General features: G+C 41.3%; 2 protein-coding genes and 1 pseudogene across 8 annotated transcripts in view; all 3 read left to right on the forward strand.

The window, feature by feature from the left end:
* Positions 1-24,272, forward strand: part of MICOS10-NBL1 (MICOS10-NBL1 readthrough) — a 61,474-nt gene that overhangs the window by 2,971 nt on the left and 34,231 nt on the right. Inside the window, exon 2 of one of the 2 annotated variants that reach the window (NM_001204088.2) lies at positions 838-1,022. The exons of the other annotated variant lie outside the window; for it this stretch is intronic. Within the exon in view, the coding sequence (NP_001191017.1) occupies positions 1,000-1,022 (23 nt within the window). The 5' untranslated portion in view covers positions 838-999. The remainder of the gene's footprint in view (positions 1-837; positions 1,023-24,272) is intronic. 2 annotated transcript variants of the gene reach the window in all.
* The window catches only part of MICOS10 (mitochondrial contact site and cristae organizing system subunit 10), a 32,842-nt gene that overhangs the window by 2,971 nt on the left and 5,599 nt on the right, over positions 1-24,272 (forward strand). For 2 of the 5 annotated variants that reach the window (NM_001204083.2, NM_001032363.4), the window contains exons 2-3: positions 22,151-22,198; positions 23,525-23,634. In NM_001204083.2, coding sequence (NP_001191012.1) covers positions 22,151-22,198; positions 23,525-23,634 — 158 coding nt within the window. Of the gene's footprint in view, positions 1-837; positions 1,023-17,308; positions 17,388-22,150; positions 22,199-23,524; positions 23,635-24,272 lie in introns of all 5 variants that reach the window. The other 3 variants (NR_033757.3, NR_033758.3, NM_001204082.2) reach the window with 3 other exon arrangements.
* RPS14P3 (ribosomal protein S14 pseudogene 3) lies at positions 7,858-8,695 on the forward strand (annotated as a pseudogene). The gene has a single exon (NR_077246.1). The product of NR_077246.1 is annotated as a ribosomal protein S14 pseudogene 3 (transcript).

Raw genomic sequence — 24,272 nt, forward strand, 5'->3', positions numbered from 1 at the left:
GGTAATCATGGGATGGTTTCAAGCAACAAATATTTATTGAGCTGTGGGTCAGTCAGCGGGCAAATAGAGAAGCATAAGACATTTCACTGCCCTCAACAGGGAATTGACGTAATATATTAGGTTGCCATTAAAAAAAAAATTGGCAAAGACCACAGTTACTTTTGCACCAACCTAGTAAATGAAATTTTAGTATGATTGTTCTGGCAGAATGAATTTGGAGCAGAGGAAACTAGCAGTACTGTGATTGTGAGGTGATAAAAGTCTGACCTGTTAGACTGGAATAAATGGGCATATTTGAGAAATTTCAAACTTTTTCCCATCTGTGAAATAAGGGAGTTGTCCTGTTGGTGATGGGCTGAGAGAGAGGGCGGAAGAGAGAAGAAGTAAGGGAGGCTTTAGTCTGAGTCGTCTTTGAAACCATGAAGGTGTACGCTCTTCTATAGTGAGCGTGTTGCTTCCTGTTTTCTCTGGGTAGTGAGGTTCTGGAACTCTTTAAACCTCATTGGCTGCTTGCTTTTCTGGTATTTCAAAATGGAGATGGAGACTCAGGGAATGGCAGCCTGTCATAAGATAGGTAAGAGGTTTGGTGGAAGACATAGACAGGAAGAAAAGGCCAATGCAGGCTTTCAGCTCCATCTTGATAATTTCACTGTGGGTTTTTGTTGTTTTTAAGACAAGGTCTCACTCTGTCACCCAGTCTGGAGTGCAGTGGTGCAATCACAGCTCACCACAGCCTTGACCTCCAGAGCTCAGGTGATCCTCCCACCTCAGCCTCCTGAGTAGCTGGGACTGTGGGTACGCACCACCATACCCATCTAACTTTTGTATTTTTTGTAGAGATGGGGTTTCACCATGTTGCCCAGGCTGGTCTTGAACTCAGGGTCCAAACGATCCACCTACCTTGGCCTCCCAACGTGCCAGGATTACAGGCATGAGCCACCACACCTGGTCCATCTTGATAATTTCATACTCTGGCTTGGCAAAGACTGAAGGGAAGCCATGGTGAATGCACAGCAACTTCTGTGAGTCCTTCTCTGTTTGGTTGTCTTATACCTAAAGTGTTTTGCTTCCAGGGTTCACCAGGGTTATTTTCCCACCTGTTTGCTGTACGATGACTATTATAATCACTCGTGTTTAGCATAGGTGTTGTATAGCTGAGTTAAATAGCTTTCTTAAGCCTGTACTTTAGGCAGTGGTCCTTTAAAAAAGTAATCTTCAAGGATCTTTTCACCCTGAGGCTTGAATAATATCTTAATAGAAAATTATCATATGATTTTGTCCTGTAGGAAGAGGCATTTATTTATAAATACCCTTGCCCCCATTACTATCTTAAGAAAAGCAGTTCTAGGCCAGGCACAGTGGCTCATGCCTATAATCCCAGCACTTTGGGAGTCTAAGGTGGGAGGATCACTTGAGCCCAAGAGGTCGAGACCAGCCTGGGCAACATAGTTAGACCCATTGCAGCAAAAAATATATATATTAGCTGGGTGTGGTGGCATACGCCTATGGTACCAGCTACTTGGGAGGCTGAGGTGGGAGGATCTCTTGAGCCTAGAGGTTGAGGCTGCAGTGTGCTGTGATCGCACCACTGCACTCCAGCCCAGACGACAGAGCAAGACCCTTTCTCAAAAAAAAAAAAAAAGAAAAGAAAAAGGAAAAAAAAGAAAAGCAGTTATATTTTACCTGCTTATTCGGGTTTTAAAACCTCTATTTATTTTGTATCAAATAGTGTGGAAGAATAGGTGATTTCTAGTATGGTTTGAACTGATAAATTAAGCCCATGGATCTAAAAACAATAGCAAAAATTAAAACCCATCTTTCTCTTGGAAGGGAGCTCTGAGTGATGGGCACAGTGGGCCCTTACTTGTTACACATCCACTTCTCTTTTTTCCACTTTTTTAGCCCTTGTTGCTTTCTTTTTCTTTATTCCTGTCACATTTTTACACTTCTTTTTGACCTCTATTCTTATTCCTGCCACTGCCACTACATACATTGCCTAGTTCATCTATAAAGTTTGACATTGATAGGTCTTTTTTCCTTAGTAACCCTGTTAGCATTTAAGAAGTTCCTAGGTATTCTATTTATTCTTTATCACATCATTTTTCTTAATAGCATGTTTCACCATTTGAAATTTGTAATTGGTTTCTTTACTTGATTGTTTCTTCTCCCTGGAATGTAAACTTCATAAGAACCAGAGGCTGTTGTGTTCACTGTTGATCCCCTAACGCCTGGTTTAGAGGAGGCGTACAATAATTATTGTTAAATGAATGACATGTATTGCTGAGAATTTTGTAGACCGTTCTCTGCCCATATTTGCTTCTCAGAGTGTGTTTATTAACTGAATGAATTAGTATTTAACTGAAAAACTCCAAGTAAAGTAGATTTCTGCCCGTTCACATGTTTGATCATGTATCCTTGTGTTCTTGGGACTTATACCAACTTTTAATTTCATCTGGGAATGTAAATTAACTGTCAGTAGATCTTAATAATAAAGTAGTATTAAAAATGTTTGGGAATAGTCAACTGAGAAACATAAACCAGAGAGCACTTTTGTATTTAAACAAGTAGAGGGATGATGTTGGTTTAAGTGGTAGTGCCAAAGCCTTATTGCAGGAAATTAAAAAGGAGTGAAGAATATTACATTTTATGAATGGCATGTTCCGTTAGTTTTATGTGAATGCGTCATTAATGGGTTTTGCTTATTTTATGGATTTATTTTTAAGTTTTATCAGATTTATTAAATGCTCTGGCTTTCTTTATCCACTCAGTTCAAGGGCTGTGGTGTTTATTTTCCTTGTATGTATGGGTAATCTGTCTTAGTACCCATGAGCATGAATAAGTCACACATTTCTTATTAGTGAGGCTAGAAGGCATAGTGTCTTATCAACCTAGGAGACTTTAAATCGTTCTGGTCTCCACAGAGCCGATGTCCTCAGCTTGGGCTTGTCACCCTGGACTGGATGAGAGGTTATGTCTGTTTTCAATTTCCCAAGGAAAATAAGATTTTAGGAGATGAGAAAAGTCATAGACTTCCAGGGGCTGCTTCCCTGTGGTTTGAGAATTTATGAGCCCTACAGGTGTGGGTCACAGAAGCACTAGGCCGGGCTCGCTGGCTCACACCTGTAATCCCAGCACTTTGGGAGGCCGAGTTAGGCAGATCCCCTGAGGTCAGGAGTTCGAGACCAGCCTGGACAACATGGCGAAACCCCATCTCTACTAAAAATACAAAAAATTAGCCGGGCATGGTGGTGCATGCCTGTAATCTCAGCTACTGGGAGGCTGAGGCAGGAGAATAGCTTGAACCCGGGAGGTAGAGGTTGCAGTGAGCCAATATCCTGCCATTGCACCCCAGCTTGGGCAACAAGATTGAAACTCCATCTCAAAACAAACAAACAAACAAACAGAAGCAGAAACACTGTCATTGCCTCAGAATTCTGTTACAACTTACTCTTCTTGAATGCCGAAGGCTTGCACCAGCAGGCTGTGGACCTTTTGACCAAGTTGATGTTGCTTGTGTGACAGTGGCCTGTCCTCAGACTATGGATTTGCCAGAGGACGCTTTGAGGAAAATCTGATTCTGGCACTTCCTGGATTCATACGGAGGTCCTGGGAATCCCTAGTGTGACTTGGATAGCTTTAAAATTGGCTGTGTCCCTTTTCTCTTTGTTTTGCTCCAATGTGAGACCAGAGTAAGGAATATCTAGTCTTACTAATCCATGTATTGGTTTAGAATTCTAGTTTATTCTAATAGAAGTCAGGTTGTATGGCAACTCTGTATTTTAGCATTTGAAGAAATTCATTGAATGGTTAGCTGAAGAGTGACATGGTTGAATTTTTGATTTCAGAAAAATCATTGATGAGAATGAATCAGAGGGCTGGCTGGGATGAAGGCAGGGAGGAGATGTCATGGTGGAGGGAGAGGTCCCAAAGCTGGAGAGTTTCCTGGAAAAGACTGTCCTGGCAAGCCAGGTGTGTCAAGCACAACAGTGATTTCCGTTAGTAGCAAGAAAAAAGGCAAGCCATGGACATTTACAAGGAGCCCCTAGAATGTATTCAATTCAGTGAACTGTAGTGGCATACACAGTCATTTTGTTTTTCTTTTCCTCATTTTTTTCATTCAAAATAAATGTACCAGTAAATACCTCCCAGCCTCAGTTTTCTTATCTATAAAATGATAGTACTTGCCCCAGAGGGTAGTTGCAAGTGAGGATAAAATGAGATAATCTCTAGAGCAGTTAGGACGTTGCCTGTACTTACTAAATATTATTAACTGGAGGCTGAGTGTGGTGGCTCATGCCTATAGTCCCAACACTTTGGGAGGCTGAGGTGGGTGGATCGCTTGAGGCCAGGAGTTTGAGACCAGCCTGGCCAACAATGGTGAAACCCAGTCTCTACTAGACATACAAAAAATTAGCCAGGTGTGGTGGTACGCACCTGTAGTCCCAGCTACTCGAGAAGCTGAGGCATGAGAATCGCTGGAACCCGGGAGTAGCAAGTTGCAGTGAGCTAAGATGCAGCCACTGCACTCCAGCCTGGGCAACAGAGTGAGACTTGGTCTCAAATAAATAAATAAAAACTGGAGGCTGTCGCTGAAGAGTAGAGGTAAAAGAGTTAAAATGATTAACACATTTACCCTGATCTTGGCTATTGTGGGTCGTAGGTGGGTCTTATTGTGGGTCGTGGCTATTGTAGGTCTGATAATCAATATTCATGTTTATATATGTAATAGTAATCATTAATGTGTACTTCTTGAAACAATTTAGTACCAGGTATTGTGGTAAGCCTTGGCAGGGGGTGGCACACAGGTGAATAGGCACTGGCCCTACCCTCGAGGGGCTTACTGCCTTGAGGAATGTGAAAAGGATGAGGGACATTTGACCCCCATTTTGGAAAATATGCAGATATTTAATAGGTGGACCAGGTGGGGGAGTGTGTTTCACTCCTTGAAGGTGTCCCAAAGGAGAGGGATACTTTGGTTCCTTCTGGGAATGATGAGAATGACCATCACTTATTGAGCACTTAACCGCATGCCAGGCACGGTGCTGAGCATGTTATATTTTACATCATTATCTCATATCCTTGTAAGATATTTCTCCATTTTTACAATGGAAGCTCATGGTGGCAGAATCCCTCCTTTAGGATCACAGGCTACAGCTGCAAGGGTAGGAAGGTGAACCCCATTCTTGTAGCTATCACATGTTAATGCAGGAGATTTTATCCTTTGGGGTTAAAGGATTTATGTGGGGAGGGACAAAAGATGAGGCAGGAAAGGTGGAAGGGTGTAGGAAGTTGTGGAGATTTTTTAAACTACTTTGTTGAGATATATTTCATGGCATACATTTTCCTATTTAAAGTGTACAATTTTAGTTTTTTCACCAAATTGTGCAATTATCACAATCTAATTTTAGAATATTTTTAGCTTCCCCCAAAAGAAACACTGGATGCAGCTGCTCCTATTCCCAAACTCTCACCCCAACCTTAGCCCCAGGCAACCACCAATTTACTTTTTGTCTCTGTGGAGTCTCCTATGCTGGACATTTTACATAAAGAGTTATATAATATGTAGTCTTTTGTATCGGCTTCTTTGACTTAGGTAGTGTTTTCAGTATTCATCCATGCTGTTGCATTTATCTGTTCATCATTCTTTTTTGTTACCAAATAATGTTGTGTGGTGTATTTGTACTACATCTTGTTTATCCATTTGTCAGTTGGTGGACATTTAGTTTGTTTACGCTTTTAAATTTTATGAATAATGCTGCTGTGATCAAGTGTACACATTTTTGTTTTGTTTTGAGATGGGGTCTGTTTTGCCCAGGCTGGTCTCAAATTCCTGGGCTCAAGTGATCCTCCTGCCTCAGCCTCCTGAGTAGCTTGGATTACAGGTGCATGCCATGGTGCTCAGCCCCCCAGTTTTTATGTGGACATGTTTTCATCTCTCTTGGATATATACCTAGGAGTGGAATTGCTTGGTTGTGTGGCAATTCTATGTTTAGCATTCGAAGAAATTCATTGAATGGTAAGCTGAAAAGTGACGTGGTTGAATTTCTGATTTCAGAAAGATCACTGATGTGATGAGAATGAATAACTCTCTGGAGTGCTAGGATGTGGGGGCAGGGAGCTAGCTTAGTATATTATTGCAAAATCTTGCCAAAGATGAGCTGATCAAATGAGAGGAAGCATGAACTAAGAGGGGAGCAGCAGGAGTGGAAAAGAGAGATATAATGATGCTAGTACAGAGTTTATATTTACAGAACTTGAAATGCAGGCTCAGGAGTGGGAGGAGTCAGGTGGTGCCAAGCCTACATAAATGAGCATGGTGTTGCTTTTGACAAATAGGAGAGGCAGAGAGGGGAATAACATTTTGTAGTTTCTTAATTTCTAGTATGTCTTGAGATAGGTCTCTAATTATATGCAGCTCAGTTAACAGATGAAAGTTATTGGTTTATCATGCATTCATCTTTATGAAAAGAAAGGATTCGGCCTTGCTTCTTCCTTGTTACGAAAGTATGGCCAGGGCTGGGCACGGTGGCTCACACCTGTAATCCCAGCGCTTTGGGAGGCTGAGGAGGGTGGGTCACCTGAGGTCAGGAGTTTGAGACCAGCCTGGCCAATATGGTGAAACCCCATCTCTACTAAAAATATAAAAATTGGCTGAGTGTGGTGGCGCATGCCTGTAATCCCAGCTACTCAGGAGGCTGAGGCAGGAGAATCACTTGAACCTGGGAAGGTGAGGTTGCAGTGAGCCAAGATCAGGCCATTGCACTCCAACCTGGGCGACAGAACAAGAAGGCTCTGTCTCCAAAAAAAAAAAGAAAGAAAAAAAGTAGGACAGTAAAAGACTTAGAAGCTGACTTGCCTTAGAATTAAAGTTAACCAGCAGATTTTGTGTATTCATTCAATAATCAAGTCTAGTTAAATTGTTTGAAGCCATTTTAATGTTTAAAAAAATACTAAAAGAGGCCATTGAATAGTCATGGAAAAAGAAAGCAAATTATTGTTTTTCTTTAAGTATCAGTTCATCTGATAGATGTGGGTTACCACAAAGCATTGGTGGCTCACCAAAAATTGCCTGTTGGTAGCCTGTGTTTGCAAACTGATACCTCTCTATTTCATGGAGTGATATCAATTAGGTTATACTTAAATACTTCAAATGCTTTTGGTTGTCTATTGGTTTGGGTTTTAAATTAGTACACGTTAATTGTTGAATTGGGTAGCCACATTTTGTTTGTTTTATGTATATTTAAACAATGTGACCAAAAATACTTTTTCCATTTGCGGCAGCAATGTGAATAATGGAACATTGTGACCTTCTAGATTCTGTTAGTATTACAGAATAATGTAATTAGGCGCTATGTGGAACTTGAAAACATACTTAAATTTTTGTTCTGGCTGTGGTTTTATGCTTTCCTAAAATGTGGCCTGTAACAGTTTATTAGTAAATATGCTGAATTGCTTTCTTTGGCAAGTGCATTTCAGTATTGAATCCAAGTAAAAACACAAATATTTACTTATAAAAGTCATTTGGTGTAGTAATATTTTTACTATGGCCACTGACCCACTAGTGAAATGTTAGGGCATTGCTAGATTGGATCCTGTTTATTTAAGGGCCGAGAGAAAGAGAAAGCTAACATTAATTGAATGCCTATTAATGTGCCATCATATTTGGTACACTATTATCTCTTTTTTGCTTTCCCAGCAACTCGGGAAGTTTATATTATCTCTGTTTTTCCAGCAAGAAAAGTAGCTCTCAAAGAAATTTATAGAAATTGAGAAGTTGATTTTTAAACTCTGAAAATGTAAACAATCCAAAATAGTCAAACCAATTTTTAAAAAGAACAAAGTTGAGATTCTTGTATTAGCTGATTTTAAGGCTTGCAGTAAAGCTACAAGACAGTGTGGTGTTGGAGAAGAGCTGGACATATAAATCAGTAGAGTAGGATAAAGTCCAGAAATAGACCCATACATACATGGTCAATTCGTTTTTGACAAGGCAATTTAATGGAGAAAGGAAAATCTTTTCAACAAACCATGCTAAAACGACTAGGTTTCCATATAGAGAAAAAAATGAGCCTCGCTTAAAAGGGTCGTAGACCTAAATATAAAAGCTAAAACTATAAAACCTATAAGAGCTTTCCCGTGTGGAGTCTGGAGACGACGTGCAGAAATGGCACCTGGAAAGGGGAAGGAAAAGAAGGAAGAACAGGTCATCAACCTCGGACCTCAGGTGGCTGAAGGGGAGAATGTATTTGGTGTCTGCCATATCTTTGCATCCTTCAATGACACTTTTGTCCATGTCACGGATCTTTCTGGCAAACAAACCATCTGCCGTGTGACTGGTGGGATGAAGGTGAAGGCAGACCGAGATGAATCCTCGCCATATGCTGCTATGTTGACCACCCAGGATGTGGCCCAGAGGTGCAAGGAGCTGGGTATCATTGCCCTACACATCCAACTCCGGGCCACAGGAGGAAATAGGACCAAGACCCTTGGACCTGGGGCCCAGTCGGCCCTCAGAGCCCTTGCCTGCTCGGGTATGAAGATCGGGAGGATTGAGGACGTCACCCCCATCCCCTCTGACAGCACTCTCAGGAAGGGGGTCACCGTGGTCGCCGTCTGTGAACAAGATTCCTCAAAATATTTTCTGTTAATAAATTGCCTTCATGTAAAAAATAAATAAAAAAAGTGAAACCTGTAAGAGAAAATCCTTTGTGACCTTGGAGTCAGAAAAGATTTTGGGGAATACAAAAAGCAAGTTTCAAAGAAAACTGATATACTGGATTTGATAAAAATTAAAAACTTTTGCTCTTTGAATGGCACCATTAAGAAAACAAAAAGGCAAGCCGCAGAATGGGAGGAAATATTTGTAATACACATATCTGATAAAGGGCTTAGAATACATAAAGATCTCTTAATTTTAAGGTTCCCCCCCACCCATAGACTCAGGGTCTCACATGTTGCTCAGGCTACTACTTCTGGCCTCAAGCAATCCTCCTGCCCCAGTGTCCGAAAATTCTGCAATTTAAGATGTGAGCCACTTTTCCCAGCTTTTTTTTTTTTTTTTTTTTTTTTTTTTTGAGATGGGATCTCACTCTGTCGCTCTGGCTGGAGTGCAGTGGCACAGTCACGGGAGCCTCAGCCTCCTGGACTCATGATCCTCCCACATCAGCCTCCTAAGTAGCTAGGACTACAGGTGCGTGCTACCGCATCAGGCTAATTAAAAAAAAATTTTTTTTTTAATCATAGGAAGACAACACATGGGTAAAATTATACCAGTGGCAGATAGGCACATGAAAAGATACTTAACATCAGTGGCTGTTAGGGAAAAGCGAATTAAAATCATGAGATATACCTACACACCCATTAAAATAGCTAAAATTTTTAAAAACTGCCAATACTAAGTGTTAATTAAGCTGTGGAACAACTGGGACTCTTATACACCGTTCATTGGAATGGGAAATGGTAGAACCACTTTGGAACACTGTTTGGCCATTTATTATAAAGTTAAACATATGATATAGCCATTCTACTCCTAGATATTTACCAAAGAGAAATGAAAACGTGTCCACACAAAGACTTACACATGCGTGTTCATAGCAGCTTTATTTGTAAGAGTTAAAAAACTGGAAACAACTGAGATATCCATCAGTTGGTTAATGGAAAAACAAAATGTGGACTGTCCTTAAAGTGGAGTATCTGTAATAAAAGGAAACCAACTATTGTTATATAAAACAACATGAATACATTTCAGAATCATTTTGTTGAGTGATAGAAGCTGTACACAAAAGAATACATACTTTATGATCCTATTTACATATTTACATACGAATTTCTAGGAAATACAAACCAATCTAATGAAGTTGAAGGAAAGGGGGGAAAAACAGAATAATTAAAATGACTAAAGAAAGCATAGCCTGGCTGGGCACGGTGGCTCATGCCTGTAATCCCAGCACTTTGGGTAGCCGAGGTGGGCAGATCACGAGGTCAAGAGATGAGACCATCCTGGCCAACATGGGGAAACCCCGTCTCTACTAAAAATAAAAATATTAGCTGGGTGTGGTGGTGCTCACCTGTAATCCCAGCTACTCGGGAGGGTGAGGCAGGAGAATCTCTTGAACTCGGGAGGCAGAGGTTGCAGTTAGCTGAGATCGCTCCACTGCACTCCAGCCTGGGGACAGAGTGAGACTCCATTTCAAAAAGAAGAAAAAAAGCATAGCCCATAATTCTTAGGTCTTGTAAACTTGTCATTTTTAAAAATAGAAGGCAGAGATTGTTTTAAAATGCTCTTTAGATAGACAGTATGAAAGGGAAAGAAAGGATAAATGAGTACAAATCAGAAAAAATGTTGGAGGCTCTAGATAAATGAGGAGGTGGTCTAAGAAGACAGCAAATCAAAGTCACCCCACCCCCCACCCCCCGGCTTTTTTTTTTTTTTTTTTTTTTTTTTTTTTGGAGACAAGGCCTTACTCTTGCCCAGGCTGGAGTACAGTGACACAATCGTGGCTCACTGCATCTTCTGCCTCCTGGGCTCAAGCGATCTTGCTGCCTCAGCCTCCTGAGCAGCTGGGATTACAGGCTCGTACCACCATGCCCACTAACAGATTGATCTTAACGGATACTGAGAGACAAGGTATATTTGGGAGGAGTCGAAATCTAGTGCATTTACTTCAATTTTCTTTATCCAATCTAAGCCATTAGGATGCTTAGGATAATTTATAGTTATTGTAACACTCTGACATAATTGTCGACAGATTTGTAGACTTACCTTACTTTGATAAATGTTTACAAGTTAGAACAAACGTTTCTGATTGTCAGAACCTGCACATATAAACCACTCAGAATTCCTGTTTGATAGATTTTAAATGATTAACTAAAGCAACTGATTTAAGCAACATAATTCACTTTTTACTAGGAAGGTAGTCTTAAGAAAGCTGCTAGTTTCTTGGCATCATTTCAGATGACTAAATTGAAATTCATTTGCTGTAGGAATTTTTTATTTATTTCTCTTTTTTTTTTTGAGACAGGGTCTCACTGTCGCCCAGGCTGGAAGGCTGGAGTGCAGTGGCACGATCTTGGCTCACTGCCACCTCCACCTCCCGGGTTCAAGCAATTCTCCTTCCTCAGCCTCCCAAGTAGCTGGGATTACAGGCGCCCACCACCACACCTGGCCACTTTTTGTATTTTTAGTAGAGACAGGGTTTCACCATATTGGCCAGGCTGGTCTCAAACTCCTGACCTCAAGTGATCCCCCAACTTCAGCTTCCCAAAGCGCTGGGATTACAGGTGCAAGCCACTGCGCCTGGTCAAAATTTTTAATTTCTTTACCATTTCAGCATAGTCCTGTATGTGAGAAACCATGAGCTTGTTAGCTTATAAATATCCTATTCTGATTAGATGCAAAAACATATTACTGTTTCAATCACATATTTTGTCTTGACACTAAAATAAATGCTACTAATTCTATGTATTCCCAGAAAAGATTATGAAGAACTTATCTTTCTCTTTATTCCAGTTGCAACTTGATTTTTTTTTTTTTTTTTTTTTTGAGACAGGGTCTTCCTTTGTCACCCAGGCTGGGGTACCGTGGCACAATCACATCTCACTGCAGCCTTGACCTCCTGGACTCCAGTGACGTCCTGCCTGGGCCTCTCAAAGTGCTGGAATTACAGGTGTGAGCCACCATACCTGGTCTCAACTTGAAATTTATTTTAGCTCATAACTTCTACTTTAGAAGATGTTTTAAGGCCAGGCGCGATGGCTCACACCTATAATCCCAGCACTTTGGGAGGCTGAGGCAGGCGGATCACTTGAGGTCAGGAGTTCAAGACCAGCCTGGCCAACATGGTGAAACCCTGTCTCTACTAAAAATACAAAAATTAGCTGGGCGTGGTGGCATGCGCCTGTAGTCCCAGCTATTTGGGAGGCTGAGGCAGGAGAATCGCTTGAACCTGGAAGGTAGAGGTTGCAGTGAGCCAAGATCGCGCCAGTGTATTGTAGTCTGGTGACAGAGTGAGGCTCCATCTCAAAAAAAAAAAAAAAGATTTTTTTTTCTTCACTCATTTTATGAAAGCTAAATTCTTAGGTTTTTTAATTTTATTATTCATTTATTTATTTGAGACGGAGTCTCACTCTGTCACCCAGGATGGAGTGCAGTGGCGCGATCTCCACTCACTGCAAGCTCTGCCTTCTGGGTTCACGCCATTCTCCTGCCTCAGCCTCCCAAGTAATTGGGACTACAGGCGCCCACCACCATGCCTGGCTAATTTTTTTTTTAATTTTTTTTTAATTTTTAGTAGAGACGGGGTTTCACCATGTTAGCCAGGATGGTCTCCATCTCCTGACCTCGTGATCCGCCTGCCTCAGCCTCCCAAAGTGCTGTAGGTGTGAGCCACGTGCCAAGCCAATTCTTAGTTTTATAATGTATGCAAGTCCAGGGATTTGGAGAGGTTTTTTATGGGGCTTGGTAGAGTAGTGCAGCCTTTAAGAAAGACTCTAGCCAGGCGTGGTGGATCATGTCTGTAATCCCAGCACTTTGGGAGGCTGAGGCAGGTGGATCACCTGAGGTCAGGAATTCGAGACCAGCCTGGCCAACGTGGTGGAACCCCACCTCCATTAAAAATACAAAAATTAACTGGGTGTGGGGGTATGTGCCTGTAATCCCAGCTACTTGGGAGGCTGAGGCACGAGAATGACTTGAACCCAGGAAACAGATGTTGCAGTGAGCCAAGGTAGCTCCACTGCACTCCAGCCTGGGCCACACAGTGCCGCTGTACTATCATGTCAGCTGGGTGGTGCTTCCTGGCCTTACTGTCCTTGCCAGATTTTAGCAGGCTCTCAGAAGGCCTGAAACTCAGGCACATTCTTTCAACACCTTTTCAGATGCTGACTTCGGATATCATCATTTGTATCAACACATCCTAAATGCAGAAACATGGGTGTACTTAAAAATATTTGACTGCCTTTTCTGTTTATCTTTGTCCGTGAGGCTTTTTAATATACTCTTTCCTACGGATCCCTGACCTATGAATTGTCGTTAAGTGTGGTCACTTCCCCCTTCTCAGAAGTTCCTAGTCCTGGTCAAACCCTTGCCTTTGCCTGTACTGGTTGTCTTCCATACCATCTCTTTCATTTCTGCCTATCATGGAATACAGGAAAGGTGGAGGGAGGGCTGTTGAGAGATCACAGGATGCAAGGTGGTAACATTACCAGTCAGTTGAGCCGAGAAGGGTCTGAAGTCTGGACCTTAGCTCCCACTTGCAGTTGCTTTGGGGCTGCAGAAGCCAACTGGTATTTTCACCTCTGATGGCGGCTTCTTCAGATCTGTCCTCATTGCTGCCAGAGTGAACTACATAAAGTACACATCTGATATATAGCTTCTCTACTTAATTCCGTCTGTTGCTTCCTTATTGCTTACAGGGTAGAGGCCACGATCCTTAGCATGGATGGCATAAAAGGTTGTCGTTCTTTATCTCCTACCTTACACTTGATAATTTGGCAGCAAGGAGCTTGCTGTAGCTCCTATCTCTTGCCACCTTACCTCCCACTTCCTTCTCTAACCCTCCTGGACAGTTTGGGTATCCTCAGTGCTCCTAGTACATCCTGTTTCTGTCATTGTACCCTGTACTTTGTGGGTCTGATTATCAGTTGGCTCCAACACTGGAACAGTGAACATAGTGCGGGAACTTATCATTCCCCAGGGCGTGGCATAGTACCTGGCACACAGTGGGTACACGGTTTGTATAACTAAGGAAATGCCCACACATAATGTTGGCCAGAAAGAAGTTTGGAAGATGTTTAGTTTTCCTGTGGTGGGTTTAAAATGTATTATAATAGCTTCCTACGTCTGTGAGGAGGCTGCACTGGGAGCAGTATAGTGTGGGGATGAAGCACCACGCCTCTGGAGTCAGGCTCCATGGCTCACATCTCACATGTCTGACCTGAGGCAAGTGACTTCACCTTTCTGTGCCTCAGTATCTCTATAAAATGGAGCTCATAAAATAAGTTTATTGTGAAGATTAGATGAGAAAATTTAATCCTTGAGCATAAGTGCTTAGTGAATGCTATTCCCTTTATTTACTATTCCAGAAAACAATGTAGATGTTTTTATAAATCAAGTTAAATTATATTTTATTTATTTATTTATTTTTGAGACAGAGTCCTGCTCTGTCACTCAGGCTGGAGTGTGGTGGCGTGATGTCAGCTCACTGCAACCTCCGCCTCCCGGGTTCAAGAATCAAGTTATATTTTAGATTGATTAAGGGAATTTAGTGTTAAAAGATTATCTGATGCCTGTTATAAGTAGCATCATTGTTTTATAATTATCCAGGTAGAAGTTCTCAGCTTTTTCTTTGGCAGCCTTCCCCCATTCACCTCCCTTATAAAAAAAAAAAAGCCCAGATACACACACACCTGCACACATACACACCCACTCTCTCTTTCACACACACACACTCTCACACACACACTTTCACACACACACATTCACTCTCCTCTCTCTCTTAGACACACACACCACTCACTCACTTTAATTTTTTTTTATTTTTTTTATTTTTAGTAGAGACGGGGTTTCACCGTGTTAGCCAGGATGGTCTCGATCTCCTGACCTCGTGATCCGCCCGCCTCGGCCTCCCAAAGTGCTGGGATTACAGGTGTGAGCTACCGCGCCCAGCCACCACTCACTCTCTTAATCAATTGTTAAGTCCTGTGAATTCTGCCAGCAAAATGCTCTTCCTTTCCAAGCAATCCTACACACCTTAGAAGAGTCTTCCTAGAGCAGAGCTTCAGTCATGTTATTCCTTCTAAAACATTCTTCAGGGAAGCCAACTGCTGACTGAGTGAAGTGCTGCAGACCCAGCTTCTGGTGCCTTCTGCAGAATGGCCCAAGATTCCTTTGTAGCCTCCTCTCCTGCTGTCCTCCTGGATGTGCCTTATGCTTCAGCTGGATTGGGCCACTCCTCAGTTCCCTGCACAGCCCTGCTTTTCTGCCACTGAGTGGAGTGCGTTCCCGTCTCCACAAACTCTGGCTGTTAAATGTCTGCCTTTCTGAGACAACTCAGGTGCCACCTTCTTGAAAACTTAAAAAAAATCTTCCTAGCCAAATGTATTCCCATCCTCCTTCTCTGGACCCACAGAACACTGTCCTTTCATGGCACTGAGGTTCTGCTTTTGGACAGTTTTCTGGGTAAAATGGACTTCTTTCTGACTTCTTACCCTTCTTGATCACAAGCTCCCCAGGGAAGAGACTGTCTTATTTCTCTCTGACCCTTGCTGAAGCCAGTACTCTTGCCCTTTAGTGCTCAGTAAATATTTGGACTTTCGATTTGTTCTTGAAATGTTTTTTTGTGGAGGAAGAAGGTGAACCACAGTTACTATGTGCACTGTACTAGTCTTCCAAGTGTTTTACACATCTCATGGGTTTCATCCTCACTATTCCCCAGTTGCAGAAAGGCACTGTTAGTATTCTTCTTTGCCATATGCAGAAACTGAAACATAGAGAAGTTATATAGTTTGCCCAAGGACTGAGACACACAGCTAGTAAATAATCTAATAGTATTCACAATCGTTTTAACCTGTCTTACCCCAAATCCACATAACCTCAAAACTGAAGAATAATCATTGTACAACACTTTCCTTTTTTTCCCCCCAAGACAGAGTCTCGCTTTGTTGCCCAGGCTGGAGTGCAGTGGCACAATCAGGGGTCACTGCAGCCTTGACCTCCCAGGCTCAAGCGATCCTCCCACCTCAGCCCCCCACCGCCCCCGAGTAGAGCTGGGACTACAGGCATATGCCACCACACCCTGCTGAACTTTCCATTTTTCAAAGAATAAACACTCTATACTGGACTGAGATTCTCCAAGGATAAAGGAAATCTTCCCCGGTGCCTTTTACTTAATAAATGTTAATAAATGTTGATCAAGTCAGTGTGTGTAAGGGAAATACATTAATGATACTGTTTCTCCATTGAATTTTTTTTTTTAATTTTTATTTTTTAGACGGAGTCTTGCTCTGTCGCCCAGGCTGGAGTGCAGTTGGCGTGATCTTCGTTTACTGCAATCTTCGCCTCCCAGGTTCAAGTGATTCTCCTGCCTCAGCCTCCCGAGTAGCTGGGACTACAGGCGCGTGCCACCGCCCAGCTAATTTTTGTATTTTTAGTGGAGATGGGGTTCACCACGTTGGCCAGGCTGGTCTCGAACTCCTGACCTCAGGTGATCCGCCTGCCTCGGCCTCCCAAAGTGCTGGGATTATAGGTGTGAGCTGCTGCACCCGGCCACTTTCCATTGAATTTTTTATTTGAATCATAGGAATAGGCAGCAACACAATAGCTATAATGATGTATAAATAGGATATAATGAATCCCCGATTCTTATATTTAATTTCACAAGGATGAGAATCCAGTTACTGTTGGTACAGATGAGGAAGAGCTGGAGATATTGGAGATGTTAGGGAAAAGGAGTCCATAGAAATACCCTTTTCAGCAGTTTATAGGCCTCAGCGCATTTGGATTCATTGTATCTCCAGCCAGTGCACAGAGGGAAGGAAAGTATTTTCTGGCTTGATTTGTTGACAATTTCTCATTGATTCTAAGTAATTCAGGTTTTTGTTACCACTCCTGTAAGTCAAACATCTATGGTTTCTGTTTCCTTGAGGGGCTGCAGAGTAACATAGTCATAAATTAACCATGGATAGTGTTAAAATCCAGAAAAACACGTTGTTGTATGTAACAAGAGACAGTCACCTTGCTGCTCTGCTGACCTCTCCATGAGGTCTATCCCTTTGTGTAGGAAAGAGCCATGACTCAGAGTCAGACAGCCTGGGTTTGAATTCTACTTTTTATAGGTTTTCATAAGGTTTCATCATAATATGAGGTTTTCATAATAAACTTTATAATGTGGTACACTGCCTAACGCTTTGTAGATGTTAGTACCTCCAAAGCACACCCCCCATAAATGTGATCTGTCTTTAATGTGTTTATATAAACTTGGCAATTTTGTATCTTTTTTTCTCAGCTTCCCTTTAATAATTAATCTTCAGAGCTGCTTCTCATTTTCCTACATACTGTATCCACATGTGCATTAACTAATTATATTTTGGTAAAATGTCTCCAGCTATGTTTCTTGTTTTATGCATTCTTGGGAGCTGTATGGCTGTCAGCATTCTGGAAGTTGAACTAAGTGCTGTACACACTCATTTAAAAGGACCCCTTTTTGAGTTTGGCTTTTCTTGAAGCAGAGCACACCAGTAATGACTCCACATTTACCTTTCATACCTTTGTTTCTTTCCATTGCCTGGTTTGTTTGCTTGTTCTAATCAGAATCCTGGTAATTGATGTCCACCCGAGAAATCCCTGCAGATGTTCCAGCCTCTGTCTAGTCCAGATAGCCACAGGAAGGGTAAGGTCTTGTAAAATAGCCACCTTCTTAGTATGTTTCCTAAATGCTCTTTGTCAGTGTTGACTTTTGAGAAGCTGATTAATACAGACTAAATTCACCATCTCTGGGTCCTTGGTCTGGCACTTTCCTGGTTAATTCACATGAATGGCATTTACATGTGGACACCTGGGACAATCTGTCTTGTCCTCAAAGGATTAAGTAACACAGTTTGAAGCTGACTTTAAACTATTTTTTCCGTCATTAATGGGGCCCTGAGCATCTTTCATAAATCAGGAATGTGTCTTGGAAATGTAATTCTCACTAAACTCAGTTCCAAGGGTATTTTCTATAAAAGCACATTCTTGTTTGTTCTGTCATAACACATGCATTTGATGATTGTAATAGCATTGACAGAAACACGATTGAACAGGAAGCACGGCCATTATAAATAGGTCAGTTTGATATAAATTCATGTTCAAAGCACAAATACAGCTTTATTAGACACAAGACAACTCTAGGAAAATATTGATTACATTTTAAAGCAAAATGGTCTAGTTAAGCAGCAAGTCTGAAAGGATCCTCTATTAAAAAATATATATATATGTATATATATACACATACACACACAGCAAAGCCCGATGTGTCATATAAACAATTACTGATGTCAATGAAATACAGTCAACTGTGCAAAGGGTAGGAAAAAACTGGTTCTGATTTTCAGCTGTGGCTTATCCACAGTGTGATCCTACGTAGCCAGTGAGTTGTATTTTAATAAAGGATTAGCTATTATACTACACTTTTTTTTTTTTTTGGCAAGGTCTCACTCTGTTGTCCAGGCTGCAATACAGTGGTATGATCATGGCTCACTGCAGCCTCAACTCCCAGGCTAAAGTGATCCTCCCACCCAAGCCTCCTGAGTAGCTGGGAGCACAGGCATGCACCATCATGCCTGGCTGATTTTTATTTATTTATTATTATTATTATTATTTTGTTTTGTTTTTGTTTTTGTAGAGATGCAGTCTGACTGTGTTGCCCAGGCTGGTTTCAAACTCCTAGGCTCAAGCGATCCTCCCATCTTGGCCTCCTAACGTGCTGGGATTACAGGCATGAGCTGCTGCACGCAGCCTGTATTACACCTCTGAAATCTTTTATCAGGGAGGTGGCAGAACTTACTACCACTTAGTGTATTCCATGTCAGACACTATTAGAGACTTTCCATTTTTCTAATGTAGCAACCCTGTAAGGTTGTTTTCACTCTACAGATGAGCAGGTTGAGGCTGGGTAGGGTTGACTAATTGGCCTGGGGTCAGAGAGCTGACTTGTAGGGACTGGAGCAGCGGTTTGGGCCCGGCCTGTCTTGCTGCAGCATCAGTGCTCTAACCACTCACTCAGCAGGAGAGTACATCCAGCATTTATTTAGAAATTGGATCCTTTCTTTCAGACATGTAAGAATGAAGAAGTTGTCTGGCACAAGGCTTCTAGGATCTTAAAGACTGGTAATTCCTGTAGCTTCTCATATTTGTGAACTGCCAGTTGAATATGGTACTTAAGTTTTTGCTCATGCATCTTGATGTAAGTTATACAAAATAAAATGGAGTTACTTTGCTATTTTAACTAATCTTTTAGATGTAGATAAAATGTAGCACTGACAACTATACCTTAGGCTTATGAATATAGGAGCCTTGTTGAAAATGTTACATGTAAGCTGGAGTGAGGTCTTAATAATTGCCATAAGTTATTGATAGATGAAATGGGTCTATAGTCTTTTTTCCCCTATGATCTATTATAGAAATATTTCAAAGTGAATTTCTGTTTCTGTTCCTCTTCAGTGAGTTGTTCTTCCTTCATTGAAAGTCCATAGGCAATTGGAACTTTTGTGAAGTTGGTCGTACAGGAGCATATATGACTACAGCTCATTCTGTTAGGGGCTAACATCCAAAATACATTGCTGCCCAAAGACTGCAATCAGATTATATAGCCTACTTGTTAATTCCTGCTGATTATGTTTGCTTCTAATTATTTGCAGTGAGGTAAAGCTTTATGATCTGTGGCATGGTGAGAACAAAGATTTTTTTAAAAGTAAAATACAGTTGCATTGAGCAACTAGAAATTGTCCATAACTGTAATGGACAACAACATACATTTTCCCCCTTTTATTACCAAAAGGTGGCTTAAGGTGTACATTGCTGCACCTCCATTGGTTGTTCTCCTTTTAAATTTGTTGTAAAATCCTCTTAGGCATAAGATAAGGCCTATTATTTTATGTATCTGATCAGTATTGTATTTATAGTTCATGGGCGCAGAGTTTTCTGTTCTTTTTACTGTTAAAATATCATCCGATGAAATGTTAAGGAATTGCTCCTTCTTAGAAATGTGTGTTTATCTACTAGCCGGTTTTATGATGTTCTGTTGGGCACTAGGCATGCATTAAATTGCATGGTTAGATTGATTCAGAGTAATTTCATTTTAGAGGAGTATGTGCCAATTCTTTTTCCTCTCCAAAAGGCATGGTTTCAGAGCATGGCCCTGTGCCTAATGTTAATTCCATAAGGCTCCTTTGTTATGCTCCCCACCCCCTACCACACACCCGCAACTGGCCTTTGCCATGAGGAAGATGTGTACCTATAATCAGGCATTTCTTTACTTTAGGGTTATTTGTCATGTCAGACAGCATGGACTTTTGAGAACAGGCTTAAGCTAGGGAAGGCAAAGTTATATAAACTGTATTCATTGTTAAATATTTGCTTCCAGGGAAGGTGAAAAATGCTTTGTACTTTTTCCTTTGGCTTTTTTCCCTCAAAAGAGCTTGTCATGCAACAGCAACAAAAAGTGGCCAAAGGCAGAGAAAACTCTTCTCTTTTCCATGTTGGTTTGTTTTTATTGTAAGACAAACCTTTCATGTTTTATTGTTATGAAGTTTAAACCTGGCCTAGAGGTGCCAATCTTTAGTGGAAACAGCTGCAGAGTTGGTGTCCCCCGATCAGGTGGGACTTCTTTGAAGCAACATGTTGCCTTTTAAAAGAGAATTGTGCATGTGAGAACTTGAATCTGTAAAACTCATCAGCAGTTCCACCATTGTTTATCTTTTAAGTAACTGAGATAGCTAACTTTAAGTAAAACATTGCAATTAAAAATCGTTTTCTGAATTATTTTTTTTCCAAAGAGAATAGCCTTATTACTTTTTGTCTTAAAAATACAGAAATGAGGGAAAAATCACCTTTAAGAATTGAAGATACAGCAGCCCAGTTGAACTAAGACCATAGAGCACATTCTTTGATAACTCCTTTTTGCTGGTCTGAACTGTTGATTCTTACTTCATATTTATACTTGCAGATAAATGCCTATAATAGGAGCAAAACTGGGTGGTTGGGCATATATCTGAATTCTAGAGATTAAGATTTTCTACTTGATATTGATGGATGTGGAAGCATTGCTCATCTTTTTGATTGAGTGGTACGGTTAGCAATGGAGTCGGCATCATTCTTGGTCTACTGCTAGGAAAAGTTGAGCATCAGAGAGCTTTTTCTCCTTGGGGGAAAATAGAAGAGACAGGCATGGAGTCAGAGGGACAAGAAAAATGCTGAAATATTTTCCTTTGGGGCTTTTGATTTCTTTGCCAAAAAATTGCCTCCAGATGGAGAAGAGCAAAAGCTCTGATTGTAAGCCATTATGTTTTTACTGGCTTATCTCCCCATTCCGTTGCCTGGTTTGGAATCTGTAAGCTAGTCCAAATCCTTTACCTCATTTTCTAGTACCAATTTACTGTCTTACTCATCTTCCAGCTGCAAGGAGTGAGGCAAGTCGCCTTAAAATTGAACCCTGTACCATTTTATAAACCAAGCAACAGCAGAGTCTTGCCAAGGAATATCAGTATCAATGGCTTCCATGTCCCTGAGGTTCTTGAATCACACCTACCAGGTCAACTTCTTGTGTCTGTGACTTGTGCGGTAGGATTGGTCTGGGAATGAATCTAACAGGCCCTTTTGGCTTTGTGAAGACTTGTTACTACCCAGGTTGTCTAGCATTCTGAGCTGTATGGGGAGCACAGTCATATTTTGGCTGTATTTCACTGGCAGTAGAAATCTTGACATTCCAATTTCCCTTGAGGGGTAGTAATTGTTTAGGGGTTGAAACTGGAGAGGAATCCAACATCTGGACATGGCAGGTACAGTAGCATTGGAGTCTGGCAGACTTGAGCCCAGATGACTGTTCCGCAACTAACTAAACAATATCCTTGGGCAAGTCATTTTCTTCATCTGGGGCTCTGGAGGGCCGTCTTTTTCCTCTGCCTAGATATTCTGGCTTGTGTGATAGCTCAGCCTTTAGGAATTGTTCTGGATTACTGCTTTTTATCTTCCTCAAAAAGTAGCCATCACTCCAAGTGCTGAGGTGACAAGGGGAGCGTCCTGTTGGCACTATCTCATGTTTTGGCTGTGGTATCCCTCTTTGAGGTGGGTAGGAGAGCCCAGGATGCTGGAGGCTCCTTGCCAGCAGTGTAGAGAGGGTCCACTCTAGAACAGTCTCCTGGCTTGTTCCCCTGCCCCACACCCCGCAACTTGTCTAGAGAGAACAGGGAGTCAAGTTTTTATTTCATGTTGGGCAGGAGAACCAAAGGCATCTGTAAAACCTCTGACAAATAAAGACGGTTAGAAATTAGAAAATTAATTCTCTACCAAATTATGAAAAAAAATCTGTTTAATGATGTTCACATTTAAGAAATGTTAATGTTATCTTTGTGAAGTTACTGCTATGAGATTTAGCATGTTTTTTCTCCCTCTTTGTAGGTACTGGTTTTGGATTAGGAATTGTTTTCTCACTTACCTTCTTTAAAAGTAAGTGTCACTCTGTCTTTTCAACATAATGTCATAGTGTATACATATACGTAGCAGGGACACTTCCAGAGGACACATTGGAACCCATCAATTTGTGGGTTGCCAACCCATCCATTTATGGGGTTAGGTAGCCCATTATAAAATGAATTAGATAAAGAATGTGGACTTGAAAGAGGTCAAAATGGGTTGGGCATCTCCAGCATTCCCCTGGGCACTGAGGCAGGGTGCCTGTTATCCTAAATATGATATCATTGCAAAAGCCTGTACTTGATGCCAGTGAGTCATTTGGCCAAGTCTACACGCTCAGATATTTCTAATTAATTGTGATTTTTTCTAGAGGAATTGAAAATGAGAATCCTGCTGGTAATAGAAACAAGTAGACCAGAAATACACATACTTCTTGGTCAAAAATTATCCTAAGCAAAGGGCAGGCAATATTCTTTTCATTCTGTGGAAGAACTTCTGAAGTTTGGATACCGAATAGATGCCAGAGGGATCCTTTTGACCTCTTTCCGTGAAGAACCAGTGGGAAATACTTGACTAGAGAATCATAATTAACACATAGTGCTGATATGAAAGAATCACTTACAGAGTGGCTTAAATAAACCCCATGACTTACTACTACAATCAAAGCATGTAAATATCGGTAAAATGCTTACATCTTTTTAGAATTCATGCATCTTACTGGCTAAGATATTAGTTAAACTGAGCAGATGATTAGAACTGATATAGAGAAGTTAAAAGGTTTATCTAGTGTTTTCATATTTTACTACTTTTTTTTTTTTTTTTTTTTGAAACGGAGTCTTGCTCTGTCGCCAGGCTGGAGTGCAGTGGTGCGATCTCAGCTCACTGCAACCTCCGCCTCCCTGGTTCAAGCGATTCCCCTGCCTCAGCCTCCCAAGTAGCTGGGATTACAGGCACACGCCACCATGCCTGGCTAATTTTTTTGTATTTTAGTAGAGACAGGGTTTCACCATGTTGGCTAAGATGGTCTCGATCTCCTGACCTCGTGATCCGCCCGCCTACGCCTCCCAGAGTGCGGGGATTACAGTTGTGAGCCACCGCGCCTGGCCTTTACTACTTATTTTCCTCAAACTTATCAGCATAGGCACTTAACAAGTATTTGCTAAATTAATAACTTCACTAATTTACACCTCTTTTTTGGGGCCATTGTGAAACATTGATAAAAATGTATGGTTATTATAGTCATTAGTATGATGCACGTTGAATATTTATTGAACCCTAAGTAAATGTATTTAAGAGGATGGGGAGCTTTATCTTCTCTTAATAATTCCCTATTGGGATTTTCCCTTTTTTGCTCACTAGGAAGAATGTGGCCATTAGCCTTCGGTTCTGGCATGGGATTAGGAATGGCTTATTCCAACTGTCAGCATGATTTCCAGGCTCCATATCTTCTACATGGAAAATATGTCAAAGTATGTACAGAATATATATTTCTCTTTCCTTCAGAAGAAAAAGATTTCTCCTGAGCCCTGAAGAATTCTTTAGACTGTTTGTAATGAGTAAACCATGTGTGTCATTGTGGCACCACTCTCAGATACTAATTGCTCTTTGGCCTTCAGTGATGTCATCACTGCTTTGGTGCTAAAGTCTCCCCTGTGCCTTCAGATGCGTATGTACGTTCAGATATATACTCATGTGCTAGCCGATTGGAATTAAGGAGCCTGCTTGAATGTTTATCATCAATGGTAAGGTAGATTGTGTTAACTATCTGTAAGTAGCACTTTTCATTTAAGAGCTCAGAGTGCCCTGTAAACATCTCACATATACTTAAGCTAAACCCAAAGACTTCCGGGACTCAGCCATGATTCTGCTTTTTATTAATTTGTTTCATTTTTTTGAGACGGAGTCTTGCTTTGTCGCCCAGGCAGGAGTGCAGTGGTGCCATCTTGGCTCACTGCAACCGGGTTCAAGTGATTCTCCTGCCTCAGCTTCCTGAGTAGCTGGGATTACAGGCACCTGCCACCACGCCTGGCTGATTTTTGTATTTTAGTAGAGACGGAGCTTCACCATGTTGGCCAGGCCGTGGTTCTGCTTTTTAATTGAAGAAGGC

Source organism: Homo sapiens, chromosome 1 (genome assembly GCF_000001405.40).
Source record: "Homo sapiens chromosome 1, GRCh38.p14 Primary Assembly".
Taxonomy (NCBI): domain Eukaryota; kingdom Metazoa; phylum Chordata; class Mammalia; order Primates; family Hominidae; genus Homo; species Homo sapiens.